This window comes from Homo sapiens, chromosome 3 (genome assembly GCF_000001405.40).
Source record: "Homo sapiens chromosome 3, GRCh38.p14 Primary Assembly".
Lineage (NCBI taxonomy): Eukaryota > Metazoa > Chordata > Mammalia > Primates > Hominidae > Homo > Homo sapiens.
This window is the reverse complement of record NC_000003.12, coordinates 195,110,560-195,132,900: the sequence shown is the minus strand read 5'-3', so window position 1 is coordinate 195,132,900 and position 22,341 is coordinate 195,110,560. Positions and strand designations below refer to the sequence as shown.

Sequence of the window (22,341 nt, the reverse complement as noted above, 5' to 3'; positions counted from 1 at the left end):
TAAAATCTGGCTTCACTTTCTTCATTGGTAAAATGAGAATCATATTGTGCATCTCAGCGTTAATCTGTGTAAACCTGAAAGTGTTCCATATATTTATGAAAGATGATTATTACTAGTCTTTAAGCATCCTGCTTCACTACGGTCTGCTGGCTGGTAGGTGTCAGTTGCAAATCTCCAAGTAAGCCGAGAATAAAACCGTGGCGTTCCTCCTTGGCTCTTCAGCTCTGATTAGGTGTATCCATCTCCCCAGTGAAGGCTGATGTCATTAGTTCCTCCAAAAACTTTGCCTACCTCTCAAACTGCAATTTAAATGCAGTTTAAATTAATGGTGAACAGAGACATAGTTTGTAATAATAACAACTGCTGCTTAATGAATGTGTGTCATGCGCCAAGCACTGTTCTAAGCACTTATTTTCTTTCTTTTTTTTTTTTTGGAGACCGAGTCTCAGTCTGTTGCCCAGGCTGGAATGCAGTGGTGCGATCTTGGCTCACTGCAGCCTTGACCTCCCAGGCTCAAGTGATCCTCCTGCCTCAGCCTCCCGAGTAGTCGGGACTATAGGCGCGCACTGCCATGCCTGGCTAATTTCTTTATTTGTAAAGATGGGGTTTCGCCATGTTGCCCAGGCTGGAGCATTGGAATGTTTAATTATCCCAACTCCATAAAGCCAATACTATTTCTATCCCCATTTTAGAAGTGAGGAAGCTGAGGCACAGAAAGGCAAAAGCTCATGGCCAGCATGTCACAGCTGTAAATGTGGAGGTGGGCTTCAGGCCTTAGCGGTGTGGATCACATGCTATCCTTGTCCTCTGGGTATTGCAGGCTGGCACTGAGGGACCCCACTGGGTTCCTTAGTTCCTTAGGAGTGAGGTCCCGCCTGGCTCCCCCAAGTCTCACTGGCTGGCTTCTAGCATCTTCCTCTTGGGCCTGCTAGATGCTGATCACCTGCCTGGACTTCTGTCTTCATTGGCAAACCTCTTCACTGAGGCCCTCAGGGATAGACAGCAAAGATAGTGTCCTCATTTTATAGAATTTGTCCAAGGTCACAAAACTAGGAAATGGAAGATCCAAGCCTCAAGTATAATTGAGTGTTCTTTTCACTGTGTGGTAATATTATATATTTTGTGATGACTATGAAATTAGCCTGGATATGGTGGGGTCACTGGTAAACATTTACCATAGAGGTTTGTCACCTCCTGCCTGCCTCATCACCCTGGCCCTGCCCCTGCTTGTGCTCTGAGAGTGGTCTTCGCAGAAGGAGGTTCTCAGTTCTCAGTTTGAACTGTTGCTTGCATTGTTGACTTGGGACCACAGTGGAGGAAAGAGAGCGGGAAAAGTGTCCTACAGCTGGAATGGAGCTTTCTGGAGATGCACTTTCTTGCTGTAACAGATTCCAAGCCATTCTTTGTGACTGCTGATTTGTGGTGCACTTTGCTGCAGTTGCAGAAATAGCTGTGCTATAGTTAGCCAAAGGCTATATGTCAGGCTTGCTCTATAACAGCTAGCTGCAAAGCCAAGGCCTGCCCTTACTTGTAAGGTGCTGATGAATGTGGAGCTAGGACTGAAAAATCCACCCGCCTTTCAGGCAAGTCAGATCACCTGTCCCTTTCATGAACAAAGAAGACTGTGTGTGTTTGGAAATGAATGGGGAGACGGAAAGAGGGTGGTTCGGCTTCTGAGTCTAGGGTGTTTGAGCAATGTGGGGGTCAGGTAGTGGGTAATGAGGATGCCTGTGACAAAGCGAGGCTGCTTCCTCAGCAGCTTGGGAAGGAACCGGCCAATGGAGCAGGCCGGCACAAGGGAGAACACTGTTTGGGTCCCATTTCTGAGAATAGGCCGTAGAGGGCACGAGGGATACATTGAAGGAGGGACCTGAATGGTCCTGCTTGCAGAATTTGCAGGTCTTGGCAATGGTGTTGTGTTTGCAGGTCTCAGGCTAAGCAGACCCTTGGGGATCCTGTCACCATTGGGTCCAGCTCTGCCTTGTTTTTCGGAGCGTATGGGACAAAGCCGCAGTTGGTGCAGCATAAAGACCTCTTCCGATCTGGCCTCAAGCTGATCTTTCAGCCTCACTGCCCTCCTCTCCCTTCTCCCTGCACCCTGAAATTGTATGCACGTTTTGTTGTGTATGGCCATGGGTACATTTGTTCAGATTCTTGAAGGTGCTGACTTGAGCCCAGCCCCTCCAGATTGCCTGTTGCCTCCGTTCCCCTCCTCTCGCCTCCAGTGCTTTGCTCAGGCTGATTTCTTAGCATAGCATGTCCTTCCCCAACTCTGGCTGTGGAAACTTACTTCCTTTGTAAGCTGAGCTCTAGCATAGCTACTGGCATGAACCCTTTCCCTGATCTACACTTCACCCGTAAGTAGGAATCACCTCTCCTCTTTCCTCCATTTCTGAAGCATTCTGCTAATGACTTGGTTAAAGCATTTATTTAATCTTACCTGGTGTCTCCACAGCTAAAGGTTATAAAGTCCTTGAGGACCAGCAGGGTCCACCCCATCTTCACTCATCTCTGCCTTTCCCCTCTAAGCCCAGACCTGCCTAGCAGTTTCTAGAAGACAGCAGGCTGCATTCAGATAGTCCCTGTCTACTGAGTGTGATCATTGTCACTTCAAAGCCAGCTCCAGAGTCATCTCTAAAGGTGCTAATGGGCAGCTCCTACCTGTTGGTGGGCATGCTGGGGCTGTACCTGAGGGTCCTCAGAGAGGGACCACAGATCTACCAGGAAATCCTGGCAACTGAGTAGCTTGCACTGAGTATTTGCTGAGACTGGCAGAATGGCAGGAGAGACATTCAAATGGCTAAAAAGCACACAAAAAGATGCTCAACATCGTTAGTCATCAGGCAGAGTGTAAAGCAAAGCTACAGTGAGACACCAGTTCATATCCACTGGTCAGCTATAATAAAAAAAGAAAGGCAGGACAATAACAGGTGCTGGTGAGGAGTTGGAGGCATGGGAACCCGCACTCACTGGTGGTGGGAATATGAAGTGGTACAGCTGCTCTGAAGAACAGTCTGGCTGTTCACAAACTTAGTGACCCTGACCAGCCGTTCCACTCCTAGATAGGTGTACAGAGACCCGAGAGAACTGAAAACATGCGCCCACACACTAACATGCAAATGGACGTTCGTATCAGCATGAGTCATAATAGCCAAACGGTGGAAATCACCAAATGCCCGAGAGAACTGAAAACATACGCCCGCACACTAACATGCAAATGAACATTCATATCAGCATTATTCATAATAGCCAAAAGGTGGAAATCACCAAATGTCTATCAACTGATGAATGGAAAAGCAAAATATGATGAAATGTTATTTGGCCATAGAGGGAATGAAGAATTGATACATGCCGCAGCACGATGCACCTTGAAAGCATTAAGACGAGTGAAAGAAGCCCGTCACAGAAGACCGCACTATATGCGTCCATTGAGATGAAATATCCAGAAGAGGCAAAAATGGTTGCTTGGGGCTGGGGCAGGTGGTCCAGGAGTTTTGGGGGAGCGATAGCTAAAGGGTACGAGATTTCTTTTTGAGGTGATGAAAATATTCTAAAATTGTGTCATAGTTACACAACTCTGTGAGCATACTAAAATCCACTGAATTGTACATGTTAAATGGGTGAATTGTATGGAATTTAAATTATGTGTCAAGAAAGCTGTTACCAAAAAAAGAGAGAGAGAGAGGGCAGGAGGTTGTAAATGGCTGCCGTATAAGTGCAGACTTCAGTGTTCACGCTAAACTCTGCTGTCCCTCTCTATGTTAGCCGCGACCTTCCCCCCACACAATATTTTTTCCAGGGTAGAACAAGCATTAAGTACTGACAGATCTGTATAAAGTCATTTTTTAAAAGATGAAAATTTTTATTTCATTTTAATGATTTAGTTGCCTTTTTACTTTCCAAGAGAATGAAAATGACTCGTCTCGCATGGGGATGTTTTTCTTGGCCACTGGGACAAGACGGTTCTACTAATCTTCCAGTGTTGGCGCATGCTTTCATTTATTCAGTCAGCCAGTCATTCTTGCACAGCAAATATTTATTGTGTACCAGTGTTTTAAGATTTGAAGAGACAGAAATAAAAGTCTCCACCTTCAAGGAGCTTATACAAGGGGGGAGACATTCAAGTAAGCAAGTAACAGATAAGTATTGTGATGAGGGGCTCTAAACACATAGGAGAGGCCCAATTAGAGGTAATCAGGGAAGGCATCAGGAAGAGGTGACATATTGGAAGGAAAGCAGGAGTTGGTCAGGAAGAAAGGACATTTTAGGTCCAGGGAGCTACAGGAGCAGTGGCTCAGGGTAGTTTAGGGAGCTATGAGAGTTTAGTCCAGGAGCCCGGGGTGTGCAGGTAAGAGTGCTGGTCCAAGGAGTCAGACACAGAGGGCCTCATAAACCATGCAAAGGCATTTGTGCTTTATCCTGGTGAGGATGGGGAGGTCTGGTTTCATTTTCATTTTAGGATGTTGACATTGGTTGCATGGTGGAGATTAGATTGGAGAGGAGTGAAAACATGAATACCTGGGGCTGAGATGAGATTTAAGGGGGGCAGCTGGAAAGGAGGATGAATGCGCTATGGGTTAAGGATGCACTGGGGGTTCTGGCTTGGGCGCCCTGGTGGGTGATGATGTGGTGTGTCAGGTAGGAAGGGATGTGCAGGCGTTTGTCAGTCATTTGCCTCCCTGGGGGGCTGTACTGAGGCTGAGCTATCAACACTTCCCTGAGCAGACTAGGACTGCATGCTAGAAAGGGATGGAAGTGTTCTGAGTCTGCCTCCCACCAGTGGTGTGGCCATGTGCCGTCAGCTTCCCTGGCCCCGTTGCAGGTTACAGGTCCTCATGGGCCCTGGGCTCCTGGCATGCCAGGCTCTTTCACTTGCCTGGACCTTGGGTTTCCCAACTATCTGTATGAGGAGACGGATGTTTGGATGTTTAAGCTCCCTTCTAGCTCTGATACTATGTCAGCCTATGTGATGTACACATTTGCACAATTACCTCTTTCAATGATTTATATAATCATTTCACAGACCCTTCAAAATTCATTCTGATCAATCAAATATCTTACTTTTTATTAATACTTCCTCTTTCTACATGGCGTTTTGCTCTTCAGAAAAATTACACACACACACACATTTTGTCTCACTCTGTCACCCAAGGTGGAGAGCAGTGGCATGATCATGGCTTACTGCAGCCTCAACCTCCTGGGCTCAAGTGATCCTCCTGCCTCAGCCTCCCAAGTAGCTGGGTCTACAGGCACGTGTCACCATGCCCAGCAAATTGTTTTGATTTTTTGTAGAGATAGGGTCTCAGTATGTTGCCCATGCTGGTCTTGAACTCCTGGGCTCAAGTAATCCTCCTGTCTCGGCCTCCTAAAATGCTGGGATTACAGGCATGAGCCACCACACCTCACTATTTTTAAACTTTTAGCATTGTCTATATTTTCTTTATTACATGCCACCTCGAAATCTTTGCAAGTAGATGGGGCCTGAGGAATAACTAAATCAATACAAATACGTGAATTAAAATTTTGATTCCAGCACCTTTTTAGCAAGTCCATGGCACCCCTGGAGGAACTGACAAAGACACCCAGGAGTAACACAAAACCAAATCTACGGATGATGCTTGAGAGTCAAATCCGCCGTGTGAGGTACTCCCCAAACTTAGATTCCAGTTTTGCTGTGTCTCCCTTCCTAAGGCCTCTCTTTTAAGCACTGATCTCTGAACACTCATGTTTACCGGGGAGCTGTGTTGGAGAAGGCTTTTCCCAAAGCGAAGACTCTTCTAGAACGCAGATGCCCACCCCAGGTCCCTCAGGTTCTTCCCACCTCTACCCCTGAAGACTTCTTTCATTTTCTTAGCCTGGCTCTGAAAATCCACAGAGGGAACATTCTGTAAAATGGAGGTTGCTGCACTTGAGTTACAGAATGGTACATGGGAAGATGAAAAGACCATTTCCTTCTGCTTCCCTGTGAGAGTCTTTCGGACCCTCTGTTTTATAACACCATAACTGCATCGCAACCAGGCAAGAAAATCAAATCACCTCCTACCAGATTTGTAGTGTTTTTCCACCAGGCAGCCAGGTCAGAGCAGAGGGCCCCTGGGAGGCTGTGCCTTTGCTCCCTCCGGCCACCTGGCAGATGGGGTGGCAATGCTGTTGAACAGTCTTGTCTTCTCTAGGGAGGGGAGTGTTGGGATCAAATTGAAAGAAGGAGGAGGAGCCCTCCAGGGATGTCTATTTTTTGTATCTCCTTTTTCTCACAAATGGACATTCTGTCCCTGCGTGCTTCCTTCCTGTGCAGAATGTCAAGTCTTTATGCCCGGTTGGGTTTTTTGCCGAGACTGTCGCAGAATTGAGAACACCAAAGGTAGAAGGCCAAATCCATGGGCTCCTTTCTAGAGAGCAGGAACTGTGCCTTCATCACTTTTATATCCCCAGTGCTTGGTACAATGCTCTGTTGTACACAGTCCCAGCAAATATTTGGGACTACTGTAAATGAGTGAATGAATGAATGAATGATCACAGAATGACCAATCGCATTTACCAGTGGGAAGGCAACTTCTGACCTGCCACAGGCCAGGACAGCGCCAAAGAGGGTCAGGTGCGGTAACGAATACCCCACCGCTTAGCTCTGTGGCTACTGTGGTTTCCGCAGGCCTGGGTCTGGCAGCCTTTCATTCACGGCCTTATCCTGCCTCACGCAGCACTGAGTGGGCCTCTCGACCTCACCTGTGTGTTAGGGGTAGAACTCAACTCACTAAAGAAAAGAAAACTGCACCAGCTTGCCCAAGGCGGGTCTGCAGTAAACAGAAATTGAAAAATAACCTTATGGCATGCATGTGATTTGGGCGTAGGTCACTGTTGACATTTTTCATTTGCTGACTATATAGCAGAAATGCCTCCATGTGGTTTTGGGGGCACTCCTTGTGTCTTTCTCAGTTATCTCGGGGTATCGTGAACCTGTGGAAGAGCTGCTCCTGCCCGCACCTTCCCTGTTGAGGGCAGTGTTGTCTGGGCGGGGTTCTGGCTGCTGCGGGAGGTGGATGCCCGCTGGAGCGGCTGTGACTGCCTAGGACTGTCCTCACGCAGGTCTCTGCCAACACCTGCTACCAGGTTGGCGCCAGCAGGGCCTCTAGGTCTGATCCCATCTCCTGGCCACAGATTTTGATCATGAACATTTCAACTTATTTCCAGGCAAGATTTCAGTTGAAAATCAATATGGCTTCTTCGCTTCATTGAGATAATTTGCATTTGGAAGCGTGGGGCCAGGGGATTGATTGAGCTTGAGTTCTGATGGAGGATGACCCCCCACCGAAAGAGTTTTGAATCAGGTGGTGGGGAGGGCAGATGTCACAGCCCTTTGCTGCCCTTCCTGGGCTCTTCCCCATTGCCCACCCCCACCAGGCTTGTGAGCTCATATCCTGGCCTTGTGAGCTCCTTCCTACGCCCCTCCGGTGGACAGGCTAGGGCTGCCCTCCTGGTCCATGGCCCTACCTAAGGAGAGCCTGCTCTGGGCTGCTCTCCCAATTCTCCAGCCCCGCAATGGAAGGAAATGGGGATGAAAGGCCCAGGCCCCAGGCTTCCCCCACTTTTAGGACTGTTTGGTCGAAGGTCGAGGAGTAGAGGCCAAAAGCATCATGTCCAGGCCCCTAGCTGAATATCAGTTCAGCTCCCTGTCGGAGCCGGGTCCCCTCCCCTGCTCTTGGGGACAGGTTTAGCCTAGGTGTCTCTGACGTCACTGTCTTCCTTGCCATGTGGCCCCTTACACACCTCTTTTTTCTCATTCTTATTTTCTCTTTTTTACACATTCTCTTTTTTCTATCAGCTTCTTGAGGGCGGGGATCAAGCCTTTCATTTTTTTCTCTTTCCCTGTAACTGCTCAGTAAATGTGTAATAAATGAATAAAGAATGGGTTAGCTTGAAAGAAGCTGAGATGCCATTTATTCGTACTGCTCTTTTCCCTCTGTCCTTCAAATAACCCGGGACAGCCTTGTGCACCCGCAGCCTGATAGAAAATACAGATGTGTGCTGCGTCCGTGAAAAACGCTGCCAGTGCCGGCTCAGACTCCAGCCTTCCCGGAGCCAGCCCCTGTCCGTACGCTGCTTGGCTCTAGTGGGAGTTGTGGTCCCTGGAACCTGGCTGACTGTGTCCCGGCCAGCGAGGGCAGTCTTGTGATACTGGAGGTTGATGTGGGGTCCACACTCCCACGGGGTTCAAAGTGTCTTGGGTTTTTGGAAGTTGACAGTAAGGCATGTGCTCATTAGTTTATCAGTCTGTCAGCAAATATTTCCTGAGCACTGCCTGCTTACCAGACACTGTGCCAGGTGCTGGGGCTGCGTTCGTGAGCAAAACAAACGTGGTCCTTGCCCCCACGGAATTCACAGTCTAGAGGGGGAGGCCTAGAAACACTAGACAAATTATCAGGGGAAAACAAAGTTATTCTGTGCCAGGCCCAAAGCCCCAGAGCTCTCTCATGCTGCCATCGCAAACCATTTCCCTTCCAGGTGAGTCCTAGGTCTTGGATTTATACCCATCGTTCTCCCAGAAGCATCTCAGTCCAGCCCCCAACCATCTGGTCAGTTCCTGTAGAAAACCTTGTCATTTTCCTTAAAGCAGCTGACAAGCACCTAGAACATTGCCGTTTAGTATGAGGGACTCTACCTGAGATCTGGCTTACTGCGTAACCACCCTGGCCCTCTGTCTCTTTGTCTGTAAAATGAGGGCTGTGGTCTAGACCCACACTTCTCGAGGTGAGTTCCATGGAACACCAATCCCAGAATGTGTCCTGGAAGAAAAGGGTGTAATGATCAAGTAAGTTTGAGAAATACGTACATTTTATTCCCCCTCTTCTAGATTCACGGAGCACACTAAAGGCTCCTAGAAGTCCTGAAGTACACAGTCCTGTCTAGCTTTGTTGAGCGTTAGCTTTTTTAAGCTTTTTGACCCAGATCCCTTTGTTCACATGATACCTGTTTTCCTGAGGCATTAGGACCCTTGGAATTTGCTGCAAAGGTCTTTGAAGGGCCTTCTGCTCTGTGTGCTGGAATTAGGGTTCTGGTGATGTCCTGGGCGGGGGACAGAAGTTGATATGGGGCAGTGGCCCAGACCCTGTAGCATCTGGTGCCCCCCTTTGTGATTATCGTGCCCGCGTCTGAGGAGATGGCTGGCTGTGAATTTCCTGCAGTGGGCTCCGGAGACATTTAAGATGCTCACTGGTGGTGGCACTGCCTTGGAATCCGCAATCATTCTTAATTGGTCTCAGAACCATCAGCTGGCGAAAGCATCTGTCAGGGGAAACTTGAGCAGCGTTCAGAGTCCCATTAATAATTCAGCTGACGAGCTCCTTCAGACGCAGGCCTTGCAGCCCTCAGGACTCACTCGTCTTCTGCCTGCAGAGATATTCCAGGGAGGCCTTCTCTGTTATATCACCGACGTTAGTGACTCAGGCAGTAGCACCTCCGTGTTCTCCCAGAATCCCCAAAGCCTCATCAGTCAGGAGAGGGAAGATTGGTACAGATTAAGCCCTCTGTAATTCCGTCAGCCGGCCAGGAGAGGGGGGCTTGCTGACGGGGAGGCTCTGGGGAGTGGATGCTGATGGCGGGGTTTAGGCAGCCCCTTATGCTGTGCTGGGGGGATTTGTCCACTATGATGGATAGGTGGTGGGCCCCTCCACTTCTTCCACTGCCTGTAGCCATTCAGGAAAAAAATGTAGGGTTTTTTTTTTTGGTAAATTAGAGGCTTGCACATTGAAGATACCTAAAAATATTGGTTGAATGAGTTCTAGCTGATTAGATCTGGTTGTCATTCCCATTTAGTAGAATGATAGAATGACATTGCCGAATGGGAACATGGAGATCATCTCCTCCAGCTCCTTCATTTTTCAGTGTAGGAAAGTGAGATCAGAGAACAGTGACTTTGTCAAGGTCACCAAGCTGGTTCGTTGCAGAACCAGGCCAGTGCCCGGGCTCCTGGCTTATAGCACCTGGTCCTTTCCAGCTGGCCACACCCTGTCTCTGAGCACAGAGGGCTCAGTGTCCTTCTTGGAGGGCTGCAAACAGCCCCAGGCACAGTGATGTGGAGATAGCAGATGCTCTTCCCACTCTGCTGCTGAGCCACCAAGGGGAGCGTGTCGCCCCCGCTGTCACACTGATGGGGTGGTGAGGGGAGTTTGTTACGTGCCGTCAATAATGTGAAACCAAAAAAGCTGGAAACTTCCTTCTTTCTCTCAGCTTCCTGGCTAATTTGTGGTGCTGGGGCTGGCAGTCGCCTCCCCCTTCCTGTGGAGTCGAAGGACCTTGGGACTCATCCCTTCTCACCTGTTTGTGGGCTCTCCTAGGACCCAGCTCTGGGGTGCTCAGGCATGGGGTACTTTCCAGCTGGACTTCTCAGCTAGACACTGAGCTGCTGTACTGATACTGAGTACTGAGTACTACTACTACAGTACTACCAAGTAGTACTACTCAGTACTGCTGTACTACTACTCAGTACTACATTCCAGCTAGACACTGAGCTGGTGTTCCACCTTCGTCTGGAGGATGGGGAGATATCAGAGCCTTACTTTTCCCATCTGCGTTTTTAACCTCAGCCCTTTTAGACTACTGAGGGGTGCAATGGACTGAATAATTGTATCCCCCCAAAATTCATGTGTTGAAATCCTAACCCCCAGTGTGATGGTATCAGGAGGTGGGGCCTTTGGAGAGTGATTAGGTCATCATGAATGGGATGAGTGTCCTGATGAAAGAGACCCTGAAGAGCTCTGTCACCCCTTCACCATATGAGGAGACTGGGGAAAGGCAGCCATCTGTGAACTGGGCAGTGAGTCCTCACCAGACACAGAATCAGTGGGCACGTTGGTCTTGGACTTCCCAGCCTCTAGAACTGTAAGAACTTGACTTCTGTGGTTTATGGGCACCCAGTCTGTGGTACTTTGTTATAATAGCTTGAACTAAGACAAGAGGAATGGAGGATGACAATGTAGGGTCCAGGCTGGGCTTTCTCTTGGAGGCCCAGTGCTAGACGATGCCTTTAGAGATGACTTGGTCAGCACCCAGTATTATAGATGGGGATCCTGAGGCCTAGAGAGGGGTAGCCACTTGCCCAGGTCACAGGGCCAGTTGATGGTAGGGCTAGAATGCTGGAATAAAGCTGCCTGAGTCCCCGACCTGGCGAGTGTTCTCCTGTAGAGTCTCAGCACGAGGCCCTCAGCCTTTCTTGTTTTGGGTGCCATTCTCCAGAATAGGACCAGCATGTCTGCTAGCTCCAAACCCAAGTGGTTAGAAAGCACAGAGGAGGTTTGGGGATGAGGGAATGCTCAGTGTGACTGAGGAAGGTTTTAGAGTGGGGCGTAGGGGCAGAAAAGATGAGAACGTCATTTGGGGCTAGGCAGCAAAGAGGAGCCTTCAGAGGCTCTGAATTCAGCAGGGGAGCAAAATATCTAGAGGAACCCTGTCTTGGGAGGTCATCCTGGAGGGTATGAAGGCCAAAAGGAGTTAAAGGAGCAGAGATGCGGGTGGTGGGCGTCAGTCTCCATCCATCCTGCGTGCACCAACCCAAGGCTTTCTGTACAAGAGGGAACCCCGTCTCTCATCACCATCTTGTCCTTTGAATCACACGCTGGGGCAGGCCTTGGCTGAATTTCTACCTGGAAGGCCTCGGTAGGTGTAGCCTGAGTAGAGGGCAGATCACATCCTCGGGTGAAAAGATAGACCTCTCAATGGCTGGGCGGCCAAGGCCTTCCTGCAGCTCAGGGAGGCTTTGGTAGATGCAGCATTTCCAAGGGCATGGCCGGTGTGCTGTGGTTCCCGGGTGTTTGGGCCCTGGGAGCATGGGGGTGCTCACGGAGGAGGCAGCAGCAGGCTAGGTGTGGCCCACAGGCCACCCAGCTATATAATCTTAGCTCCAACACACGTCACACACCCTCACACTCTCCTGCCTGTGAGCCCCAGGGAGGTAGGGGAACACCACGAGCCTGATTTGCAGGTGAGGGTTTGGGGGAGTAAGCCCTAGGAACCCTGACTGTCTGGGAACAGGGCGGGGGCTGGCCTGACATGCAGGAGCTGTGCCAGCCAGGCCGCACACCCTCTCCGTGCTCTTCCAGCTTCTCAGGTGCCGTGAGCTTGCCTTGTCTTCCCCTCCGGGACCCCGCAGAGTCGGTGCTCAGTGACGGAGCCACGGAGAAGGGAAATCCTGACTCTGAATCCTGAATGAAATGGGTTTCACTCTCAGAGTTACTAAGCACTTTTCATGGAGCCATCCGAGGAGAACACTGCAGGGATAATAGCAATGCTAACGATAGTCATGGGAATACAGGGGTGTTTCTGTTGCTACAGCTGAACAGGAATAATAATGTTAGTTAATGTTATTGGGGTGCACCCTGTGCCAGGCACTGTGCTCAATGCTTGCTTTATATGGAGTGTCACTGAATCCTCACGGCAATGCTGTAAGGTCAATATGAATATTACTCCCATTTTCCAGATGAGAAAACTGAGGCACAGATGGTTTACACATGGTTCAAGGCCAGCCTCAGAGCCAGGATGTGGTGGAGCCAGGATTCCATGCCCAGCCTGAAGCTCTTTACCAGGCTTTCCTTCTCTGTGGCCATGGGGGCTGGGGCGGGGGGGGCATCTGAGCAGCAGAGGGCAGTGGTGGGGTTGGGAGGGGCACCCCCAGGAGGATGGGGCAGCTACTGTGTCAGAGTGGGTGGGGGTGAGGCCTTTGCTGGACGCCCAGGCTCTGCCCTCCTTTGAGTAGATCATCTTGTCCGTGGAACCTGGATAGAGGCCTTAGGCTGAAGACAGAGGAGAAATCTAAGCTTTTTGTTTTCAGAGAGAAAAGAGACAGCATGTGAGTTTTGAGTGGAATCTGATCCTAGAGACAGGCAGCCGGTACCCCAGTCACGAGCAGGAATCCTGCGGGCCCAGTGGGAACTTCCCATCCCAAGGGAATGCAGGGACAGGCTGCTCCCCCCGCCCCGCCCAGCCCCTGACCTCCCCCTGCCTTCCCTGCTTCAGCCACAAACCCCTTGACCTTGTTGTTTCAACTGCAGAACAGGCTCCCCAGCTATTGTTCTTGGAGATGATTCTGTGATCTTAGGACCTTTGAGAAAAGAACAAACAGCTAGGAAAACACAGGGTGGTTAAAAGATGTTTGTGATGTTTGTGCCGTATGGAACAAAAGAGGCATTCGGGAGACTCAGCATTGTTCTGCGGAGTGAGGACGAAACAGCCCTCGGAGGCCTCCTCTCATCTGGGGGCATCCAGCTCATTGTCGTGGAATGTAGCTCCAGCCATCGCTTCATTGTCAGGCCATATACTCTGTGCGGGGCCCGGGCTAGGAGTGTGTTTACACTTGATTCACTTGGAATCCTCTCCTGGTTTCTGATCCATTCTTTCTGTCTTCTTGTTGGGAAAAGTGGCTCATGTTATCACCCAGTCACTCATTTCATAGCAGCTACCCAGGTCCCTTACTGGATACCCTTCATCGCCTGTCCTCAGCAGGACCAATAAAGTCATATTTATACAGCAATCTAAGGTCACATAGTCATTTTATGTGATTTCCCTTATTGGATTTTTATATCAGCTTCACTATATATGTTATTTCCTTTTTTTTTTTTTTTTTTGTTTGAGATGGAGTCTCGCTGTGTCTCCCAGGCTGGAGTGCAATGGCGCAATCTCGGCTCACTGCAACCTCCACCTCCCAGGTTCAAGTGATTCTCCTGCCCTAGCCTCCCGAGTAGCTGGGATTACAGGCGCGTGCCACCACACCCAGCTAATTTTTTTTTTTTTGTATTTTTAGTAGAGACAGGGTTTCACCATGCTGGCCAGGCTGGTCTTAAACTCCTGACCTCGTGATCCACCCGCCCTGGCTTCCCAGAGTGCCGGGATTACAGGCATGAGCCACCGCGCCTGGGCTTATTTCCATTTTTTCAAAGACAAAACTGAGGCTCAAAGCAGAGAGGTGACCTGCCTGCTGATGTACAGCTAATGACAGAGCCCCAGAGGAACGCAGTGCTCTTAGAACCCCACTGAAGATTCCTCCTTCAGGGAACTACGTTTCGAAAGTTTACTACGTCACCTCCTTCGGGAATTCTGAAACATTGTGTACTCGTATCTTTACCCGTGAAAGCTGTTTCTGGGATTGGCGCTGTCAACTCCAGGCCCAGGTCTCTCTAATTCTGGGTTGGTAGGTTTTGCATTAATGAGATTTAACTCACCATGGTTCATTTCTCCCTTTGCAGTCCCTTGTGTATGCCCCTGGGGCATAGGTGCCTGTGGCAAGTCTGTGAAGGCTGCATTCTCCCCCAGCTTGGAATGCCCAGTGCCCCTGCTGCAGCCCACAGCCCTTCAGAAGGTGATTGCAAGGAAGCCAAGCCTAACCTCATCTTCCGTTCCTTCTGCCATGTCCACACCTGGCGTCACCTGTGCAGCCTTTCCTGCATGAGTCATGGCCAGGCAAGCTCGGTGACATGCACTGGGAGCCCGGTGTGGAAGCTGGGAGGCAGTCATTGTGTAGTCACGCTAGTGGTGGCCACGGGCCATGGGGCTCCTAAGGAAATTAGAAGGACCTTTGGAACTGCCTTCCTCCCCACCCTGCTCTGTATCTCCTTCAGAGTTTTTCTGATAGGGGTAGTGCTGACTTGTTCCTTGGGAAGGCTTGGAGATTTGGGGTCTTCGCCTGCATCTTATCAAAATCCCTGTGTCTCACTGGAGGAGTAAGAACCTGACCTGCCATCAGGAAATGCCTTAGATGAGTGCTCAGCACCGGTGGCAGGACTGGGGATGTTTAGTTAAGATAAGAGAAAGCCCAGGGGGGCATTATCTCTGTCTTCATATGGGACAGGAAATGTACTTGTTCCTTGTGGCTCTAGGGGGCAGGACGTGGAGCAGAGAGCAGAAGCGTTAAGGGGTGAAATTCAGCATCATGTGAGAAAGAACTCACTAAAAAGTCATTTTCAAAAAGTAGAACATGCTGCCCTGAGCAGAGTGAATTTCTTCTTCCTGGAAATTTCCAAGTGTTATTCCGACGGGGAGGCTGTGGCCCAGGGGCCCAGGAATGGGAACTCCAGTGCTGAGTGGCACTGAGATGGCCACTGACCTTTACACTTATTGGCATGTAATTAGTCCCCTCCACAGTGTCCTGTAGTGACAGCTACCCACAAGAGCTGAGCTCCGGGCAGGCACCACAGAGGGAAAGAGGGCCAGGGACCCCTCATTCTTATTGTTTCCCTGGATGTGTGCATGCATGTGTGCGTGAGAGAGGGGGGTGCATGGAGTTTTTCCCTTTGTTTCCACGCTACCCCGACCCCTACTCCACACCAAATAACTCATTTAATAACTTGGAATCCTCCCATATGTTTATCTGTGCTTATAAAAGTCATAGACACTTATGACACACATCAACACATAGATACATGTACAAGTTTTTAAAAATTGTTTTATAAAAATGAGATCATATGAATCAAATTTACTGCATGTTGCTTTTCTTGCTCATCAGTACTTCATAGAAAAATCCCTCAAGTTCACTGGTATGCCTCTCTTATTTCATTCTGCTAATGTAGTCCATAGGATGGATGGCCCACATCTGATTCAACATTCTTACTTTGATGGCATTCATTTTATCTCTAGTTTTTTCACTTATAAATAATGCTTCCACAAACATTCTCATTTGTACATATGGACGCGTGTGTGTATGTGTCCTTCCGAGCTAGTGCTTTTATTTCCCAGGCATAGATTCCCAAGAGTAGGAGTGCTGAGCTGAAGGGGATGTGTGTGTGTGTGTGTGTGTGTGTGTGTATACACTATATATATATAGGATGTTTCCAGATTGTTTTCCCAATAAACTACAGCAATTCTCACTTCCATTAATAGTACATGAAGGCACCTGTTTCCACATCCCCGTAGCATCAGTTGTGATTTCCTTGTTTGTGCTGGCTGGGCTGATGGGTGGGCAGTAACACTTCATTGTTACTTTGTTTCATTTCTCTGACCCCTGGTGTGCCTGAGCATTATTGTATAGGATTATCTGCCATCTGGATTGCTCTTCCCCCAATCACCTGTGGGACCTTTGCCTGTTTTGCTCCCGAGGTTCCAGAAAGGAGAACAAGGCTTTCTGGGTCAGGCAGGCAAGCAAGTGTGTTTCCGTCTCAGCCTTTACCTGGTCCTGGAGATGGTCAGCCCTCAATGACTTACCTTCCCTTTCCCTTCTGCACAGTTTTTAGAGTCCCCAGAAATGGGAAATTAAATCTTATTCTCCCAAGCGTCCCAGGGTAAGGGTGAGGGAGAGAGCAGGAAATAGAGTTGCAAGCCGGTGAGAGCTGATAAGTTGTCCTGTGGATTGGTTCTACTGTCTCTCTCTTGTGTTTCCTGGGCCAAGTTCCCTCCCTTCTTGCTGATGTGCACTTGGCAGTGCACCTGTAAATAGTTTGGATCTTGACTGATGTTTCTGAAGCTTCAAGTCTCACTACTCAAAGTGTAGTTCATGGACCAGAAACAGAATCTCAGACCCCACCCCAGACCTACTGACTCAGAATCTACATTTTAACGAGATCCCCAGATAATTCACAGAAACATTAAAATTGGAGAAGCATTGGCTTAAAGCATTCTGGTTAGAATTTGTGAGGGGAAACAGACACGCTTAGAACTTACTTGCCCAGAAATGTTGCTGCAGTTGAGAATGTTTTAGATGTGTCAGTAGATCCAGCATGGTGCAGATTCCACCGCTCGTGGTGGCATGCCTTCTTTCTCTTGCTCTTGAGATCTCATAGTGCATGTCACCTACCAGAACACAGCGCCCCTCTGCCTTGGGTGACAGGAAAGCTCAACACACCCCAATCCAGCTGCTTCTCCCTGTCGCTGAGTCTTATAGGCCCATCAAGTCCACGTAAACAACCTGTTTTAGATAGCCCGACTCCGTTTGTGGCAAATAGTGCATGCTTCAGCTGCCTGACTTGAGTTTCCTGCCATCTCCTGAGCGGCCCAGCTCCTTATCACTGTCCCTGTCACCTGTCCTCGGTCTTTGTCTCCTGAGCCTGAGGACAGCCTCAGCGCCTCCAGTTTTCATACAGAGCTGCCCCCATCAGACCCTCTCGCCCTCTGACAAAGCACTGTTAGTTACTCTCTAGATAACCGAGGTCCGGTCCTGGCCTGCACCTGCCGCCCTCCTTCCTCCACCTCGGACGTGAACACCTCAGCTCAAAGGTGAGAGCGCACACGGTGTGCTGCCGGAGCCAGACGAGGGGGTTACTGCTCCGCACCAGATGAAGGGAGTCGTCCTGTAAATAGCTGTGCTTTCCAAACCACTTCCACTGTGGCTCCTGAGGCCTTCACGCGTGCTCGGTTTGCCAGGCAGGGTTTATCAACCAGGGATCGCGTAGGAAGCAGAAACCACTCCAGGTGGTGTAAGCAGAAGGAGTTTCTTGTTGGAATTAGGTGCTTACAACATTGTTGGAGGGGCTCAAGGGGCAGGTTTCCGGCTGGGCCTTTTGAAGGACTCCTGGCTAGTTCAGAAGCAGCTGTTGCCAGCCCACAGCCATTCCTGGACTCTCTAGGAGGCTGAAGGATGAACAGTCTAAGTTGAGGTCTGAGGATTATGGAGTTTGGACAGAAATCACCACCACTGCCCTGCTTTTCTGGTACTCAGGAAGCGGCAGCACGACCTGGGTTCAAGGTGACTGGGACCGTCTAACCAGCAGTGACAGCCAGAAGCCACATTCTCACCGGGCACGTCTCATGTGAGCACACTAGTTCCCGAGTCGCAGCACCTGATTCACGTCCCGAGCTCTCGCCGTTTGGGCATCTGGGAAGCTTAGTTTCCCTCGTTCCAACCTCTCAATAGGAGGAGGATCAACGGGAGGTTTGGGAGGAGCCAACTGTGCAACCTCAGCTAGGTACGATTTTGACGAGTGGAACGGGTGGGGCCTGCGGCATTCACACTCCCAAGCTCAGCCTCCACCCAGGAGTGACTGCGCCCAGGCCGACCCCGGTGTCTTCCCACACTTGGCGTTAGCACCTTCTGCAGGTGGCAGCCTCCTTGCACCGGCAGGGAGACCACTGAGCGGCTTCACTCCTCCCTGGTTTTCTAAGCCTGTAAGACTGCTACCTTCCTGCGTGCTCCAAAAGCGATTGCTTTTTCACTTAGTTTCGTCTGATTGACGAAAGCTTGTCACAAGCTTGACAGAGGTTCAGGGAATGTGGGCAAAGCCGCGCTGCCTTCTACATCAAGTGCTGTTCATTTGGGTCATTAGGATTTCATGTCTGGTCCTGGTCTTCGTAATTAAACGTGTAAAGAGATGTCCTCCCAGCACTGTCATGAGCAGGAACTTTTTAGTAGAAATGTACTTGTTGATGACATGGTTGTATAATGTGATTGTGGGTGTAGGGGGACAGATGTGTTTCAAGTGCTAGAGAAATGACAATGATTTGGGTCTCATGGGACCCAGGCACAGGACCGTACACAGAGCAGGTGCTCAAAATGGCTTATTTAGTACATGGAGTGAAATGAAAAGAAGCTCAACGCAGGTGGAAGGTGATGCTCCGTGTCTCCCGGCTCTCCAGGCAGTAGTCATTCCTTGGCCCCTCAGATCCTCCATTTTGGGTGCAATGGTGTGGCTGTACTTTGTGGAGAAACAAATTTGGGCAGCTGAGTTCAGGGCTTCACGTGGAGGAGCGAGAAGGGGGCCACCCAATGCAGCTTTCCCTGGAAGCGTGTGGACTGGGGCACAGTTGTTGCAGGATGATTGGCTGCCACCATAAGTGGGCAAAATCATGGGCAGATCATCCTGCTTCCTTAATTGAATCTTGGAATGCATTCAGAATCTTCAACCCAGGGGTCTGGCACTCAAGGCGTTTGTGACCTGGCACTGACTCAGTACGCTCTAGCCAAATTGGGCACTCATGGCTCCCAGATGCTGTGCCAAGCTTTCACCTGCTTATCTTTGCTTGCACTGTTCCTGCCACCTGGAGGGACTTCTCTTCACCCATCTCTACCTTGAGAAATCCTCTCTGTCATTCATGGCCAACTCAGACACCCCTTCTTCATAGCATTCTTTGCCCGCCGGCCTCAGGAGCACCCTCTGGCACTATCAGAATGCCCAGGGCTCCTTTCCACCCTTTTCTCCTGGCCACAACCCTTTCTCCTGGCCACACCCCTTTCCGCCTCTTTGCCTGGTCCTGTGGGTGCTGTGCAGGCTCCCTCAGCCAAGCTCGGCATTCCCAGGCCTGGCTCCGAGTAGGTGTTTGTGGAATGAATGGCTAAAAAGTAAAGCAAAAAGCTCATGAAACAGAGGGGAAATCCAAAACTGATTAAAGAGAAAAAGGATTCTAACAAAAAAGACCGTGAGTGCTGGGTTCACACTGCCTGGGTTCAGGTCCTGGCTCCACTATTTAATAGCCCTGTGACCTTGGACAAACCAGTAAACCGCTTTGTGCCTCAGTTTCCCCCTATGTTAAGGATAAGCGTACTACCTAATCAGGGATGTTCTGAGAATTAAGATTCTTGAAAACATGTCAGCTTCTTGGAACGGTGCCTGCCTCGTAGTAAGTGTTAATATACGTTAGTGCACCACTCCCCTCCCAAGCTTTCCCAACTCCCTGGCTTGTCGAAGATAGTGTCAGAAACTGGCGTTTTTCCGAGCTCCCGCCAGATGTTCACCTCCGTTTCCATCCTGCAGTTGCGGCGAAATCAGTGGGAGATGTTTTCCTGAGGCGGCTCCATCCTTACTGTGGAAGGGAGAAAAGACGGGAAGGTCCACGGACCAAGGAGTGGCTCTTGCCAGGCTCTGTGCGAGGGCTCCTCATATGAAATGCTGTTTAATCTTCACACAGCCTCTGGGTATGGATTAATGTTCCTATCTGGGAGGAAGCTGAAGCTCAAAGAAGAGCAACAGCTTGCCTGGGATGGCACGGCGAGTGAGGGGCATGGCTGCAGTTGAAACCCAGATTGGATTTTGAAACCCATGTTCTCTTGACTGCTTCATCCAGCTGTTCCCACCACCTGGGGCTGGAGGCTGGGGGCTGCGTGTATGTGCGCACATGTGTGCATGCATGTGTGTGCATGCGTGTGGGTGTGTGTGCGTGTGTGCGCTGCTTCAGCTGTTCCCACCACCTGGGGCTGGGAGCTGCGTGTGTGCATGGGTGTGTGTGTGTGCATGCGCGCACTGCTTCAGCTGTTCCTACCACCCGGGGCTGGGAGCTGCGTGTGTGCATACGTGTGTGTGTGCACTGCTTCATCCAACTATTCCCACCACCCGGGGCTGGGAGCTGCGTGTGTGCATGGGGGTGTGTGTGTGCACATGTGTGCGTGTGTGTGCATGCGTGTGTGTGTGTGCGTGCGTGTGTGTGCACTGCTTCATCTAGCTGTTCCCACCTGGGGCTGGGGGCTCTGTGTGTGTGTGTGGGTGTGTGTGGGTGTGTGCATGTGTCCATGCGTGTGTGCATGTGTGTGGGTGTGCACATGCGTGTGGGTGTGCGTGCGTGTGTGTGCATGTGTGTGTGTGCGCGCACGTGCGCACGTGCAGTCCTTGCTGGGGTGGGTGGGCTCGATGGCCCTGCCCCGAGTTGCCTCAGAACTGAGCAGAGTGGATCAGTGTGGACAGATCTTCTGGGGCTTGCGAACCCCAAAGCATCAGCGAAACCCGTGTTTGCCCAGTGTTCAGCCATGGCAGCCCACAGAACCTGACCCGGATTCCAGTAGGCTTTTGCCCAGGTGTCGCTGAGATGTCAGCAAGCCTCAGTTTCCTAGTTCATGGGCCCTCCTGACGGCTAGAAATGGTCTCGTGGGTTTTAAGAATAATTATAACTATCTTGTCCTCACTTAAGCTGATTTGGTATATACCAATGTACTGATTGATATTAGCACCCGTCTCATTTGCACATTTCTGCAGCGATAGTAATGCCAAGTAAACTGTAGAAGAAATGAGTTCCTGAGGCATTTACAGGCAATCAGGATGTTCACTTTGCATGTAGAGCAGGCACGCGCTATTTGAATCAAGCTTCCACGATTGGGGCGAGCAAATGATCTTGTATTTACATATTTTTCCGAAGGCCACTTTACCTCAATTTTAAATCTTTAAGTTGAGTTCCTATTTTTGAAAATTCTGTTTTGTTGTAACTGAGGTAATCCAGCCTCAAGGCCCTGTGAAGACAGCTTATGTTAGAAGTCTGTCTGTTAATCTTACCACGTTGAAGACAGTGGAATTCTGTGAGAAAAGATAGGCTTCACGAGTCAGTACCAGTGGTAGATGGGTGGGCCAGTGATAGTATAATACTCGTTCAGCTTGGTCACAATCAGCGTGTCCTTTACCTGCTGCTTACAGACGTTCACAGTGACAGATGCTCCCGTCATGAGAGACACTGAGCACCATCAGACACCTGCCCCTGGAGCGCCATCCTAGCCAGAGAGATACACACAGGCCCAGCCCACTCAGCCCAGCCAGACCCTCTCCGCCACCTCCTTTCCCCTTGCTCCCCATCCAGCCTCTCTCCCCATCTCCCCTCTCTGCTATGGATTGAATGTGTTCCTCAGAAATTCATACGCTGAAGCCCTAACCACCACTCCCTCAGAATGTGACCTTATTTGGAATAGGGTCGTTGCAGATGTCATTTGTTAAGATGAGGTCCTCATGGTCGAGCCTAATCCAGTATGACTGGTGTTCTTATAAAAAGAGGAATTTGGGCACAGACACACACACACAGGGAGAACATCACGTAAAGGAGAAGTCAGATCACGGCTTTGCTTCTGCGTGCTAAGGAATAGCAAAGATTGCCAGCGAACCACCAGAAGCTAGGGGAGCGGCCTGGAACAGGCTCGGCCTCGCAGCCCTCAGAGGGATCCAGCCCTGCCGACCCATGATCTCAGACTTCTAGCCTCCAGGACTGCGGACAATCAGTGTCTGCTGTTTAAGCAAACCGGTTTGTACTTTGTCGTGGCAGCCCTAGAAAATAAATATCACCCTGCCCCCACCCACATACACATACCTCACACACACCACACACACACACCACACACCTCACCCACACACACGCACACATACACCACACACCACACACACACTTATACAACACACACAACACACCACACACACACTTATACACCACACACACGCACACATACACCACATACACTTATACACCACACACACACCACACACACTTATACACCACACACATGCACACATACAGCACACACACACACACCACACACACCACACACATGCACACATACAGCACACACACACATACACCACACACAACACACCACACACACTTATACATCACACACCACACACACACCACACACATGCACACATACAGCACACACACACATACACCACACAACACACCACATACATA

At 50.0% G+C, this 22,341-nt stretch overlaps 1 protein-coding gene across 5 annotated transcripts in view, besides 11 other annotated features; it reads left to right on the top strand.

Annotated features, from left to right (window-relative positions):
- XXYLT1 (xyloside xylosyltransferase 1) overlaps positions 1-22,341 on the top strand; it is a 202,876-nt gene that overhangs the window by 138,259 nt on the left and 42,276 nt on the right. The window lies entirely within an intron of this gene.
- Positions 1,224-1,333: an enhancer, noted in NCBI's record as "active region_21045". NCBI's record gives its function as "activates an Ori minimal core promoter by ATAC-STARR-seq in GM12878 lymphoblastoid cells {active_cell/tissue: GM12878}" and the evidence as "EXISTENCE:reporter gene assay evidence [ECO:0000049][PMID:35858748]".
- Positions 1,394-1,463: an enhancer, noted in NCBI's record as "active region_21044". NCBI's record gives its function as "activates an Ori minimal core promoter by ATAC-STARR-seq in GM12878 lymphoblastoid cells {active_cell/tissue: GM12878}" and the evidence as "EXISTENCE:reporter gene assay evidence [ECO:0000049][PMID:35858748]".
- Positions 2,575-2,884: an enhancer, noted in NCBI's record as "active region_21043". NCBI's record gives its function as "activates an Ori minimal core promoter by ATAC-STARR-seq in GM12878 lymphoblastoid cells {active_cell/tissue: GM12878}" and the evidence as "EXISTENCE:reporter gene assay evidence [ECO:0000049][PMID:35858748]".
- Positions 3,025-3,404: an enhancer, noted in NCBI's record as "active region_21042". NCBI's record gives its function as "activates an Ori minimal core promoter by ATAC-STARR-seq in GM12878 lymphoblastoid cells {active_cell/tissue: GM12878}" and the evidence as "EXISTENCE:reporter gene assay evidence [ECO:0000049][PMID:35858748]".
- Positions 6,558-7,088: an enhancer, noted in NCBI's record as "H3K27ac-H3K4me1 hESC enhancer chr3:194846542-194847072 (GRCh37/hg19 assembly coordinates)". NCBI's record gives its function as "activates a minimal SCP1, AML or CMV promoter by ChIP-STARR-seq in naive H9 embryonic stem cells {active_cell/tissue: H9 hESC(naive)}" and the evidence as "EXISTENCE:reporter gene assay evidence [ECO:0000049][PMID:30033119]".
- Positions 8,027-8,321: a silencer, noted in NCBI's record as "tiled region #14086; HepG2 Repressive DNase unmatched - State 8:EnhW, and K562 Repressive non-DNase unmatched - State 7:EnhWF". NCBI's record gives its function as "represses a minimal TATA promoter and a strong SV40 promoter by Sharpr-MPRA in HepG2 and K562 cells {active_cell/tissue: HepG2 | K562}" and the evidence as "EXISTENCE:reporter gene assay evidence [ECO:0000049][PMID:27701403]".
- Positions 8,027-8,684: a biological region, named in NCBI's record as "Sharpr-MPRA regulatory region 14086".
- Positions 8,152-8,684: an enhancer, noted in NCBI's record as "H3K27ac hESC enhancer chr3:194844946-194845478 (GRCh37/hg19 assembly coordinates)". NCBI's record gives its function as "activates a minimal SCP1, AML or CMV promoter by ChIP-STARR-seq in primed H9 embryonic stem cells {active_cell/tissue: H9 hESC(primed)}" and the evidence as "EXISTENCE:reporter gene assay evidence [ECO:0000049][PMID:30033119]".
- Positions 14,517-15,057: an enhancer, noted in NCBI's record as "H3K27ac-H3K4me1 hESC enhancer chr3:194838573-194839113 (GRCh37/hg19 assembly coordinates)". NCBI's record gives its function as "activates a minimal SCP1, AML or CMV promoter by ChIP-STARR-seq in primed H9 embryonic stem cells {active_cell/tissue: H9 hESC(primed)}" and the evidence as "EXISTENCE:reporter gene assay evidence [ECO:0000049][PMID:30033119]".
- Positions 14,724-14,783: an enhancer, noted in NCBI's record as "active region_21041". NCBI's record gives its function as "activates an Ori minimal core promoter by ATAC-STARR-seq in GM12878 lymphoblastoid cells {active_cell/tissue: GM12878}" and the evidence as "EXISTENCE:reporter gene assay evidence [ECO:0000049][PMID:35858748]".
- Positions 15,058-15,600: an enhancer, noted in NCBI's record as "H3K27ac hESC enhancer chr3:194838030-194838572 (GRCh37/hg19 assembly coordinates)". NCBI's record gives its function as "activates a minimal SCP1, AML or CMV promoter by ChIP-STARR-seq in primed H9 embryonic stem cells {active_cell/tissue: H9 hESC(primed)}" and the evidence as "EXISTENCE:reporter gene assay evidence [ECO:0000049][PMID:30033119]".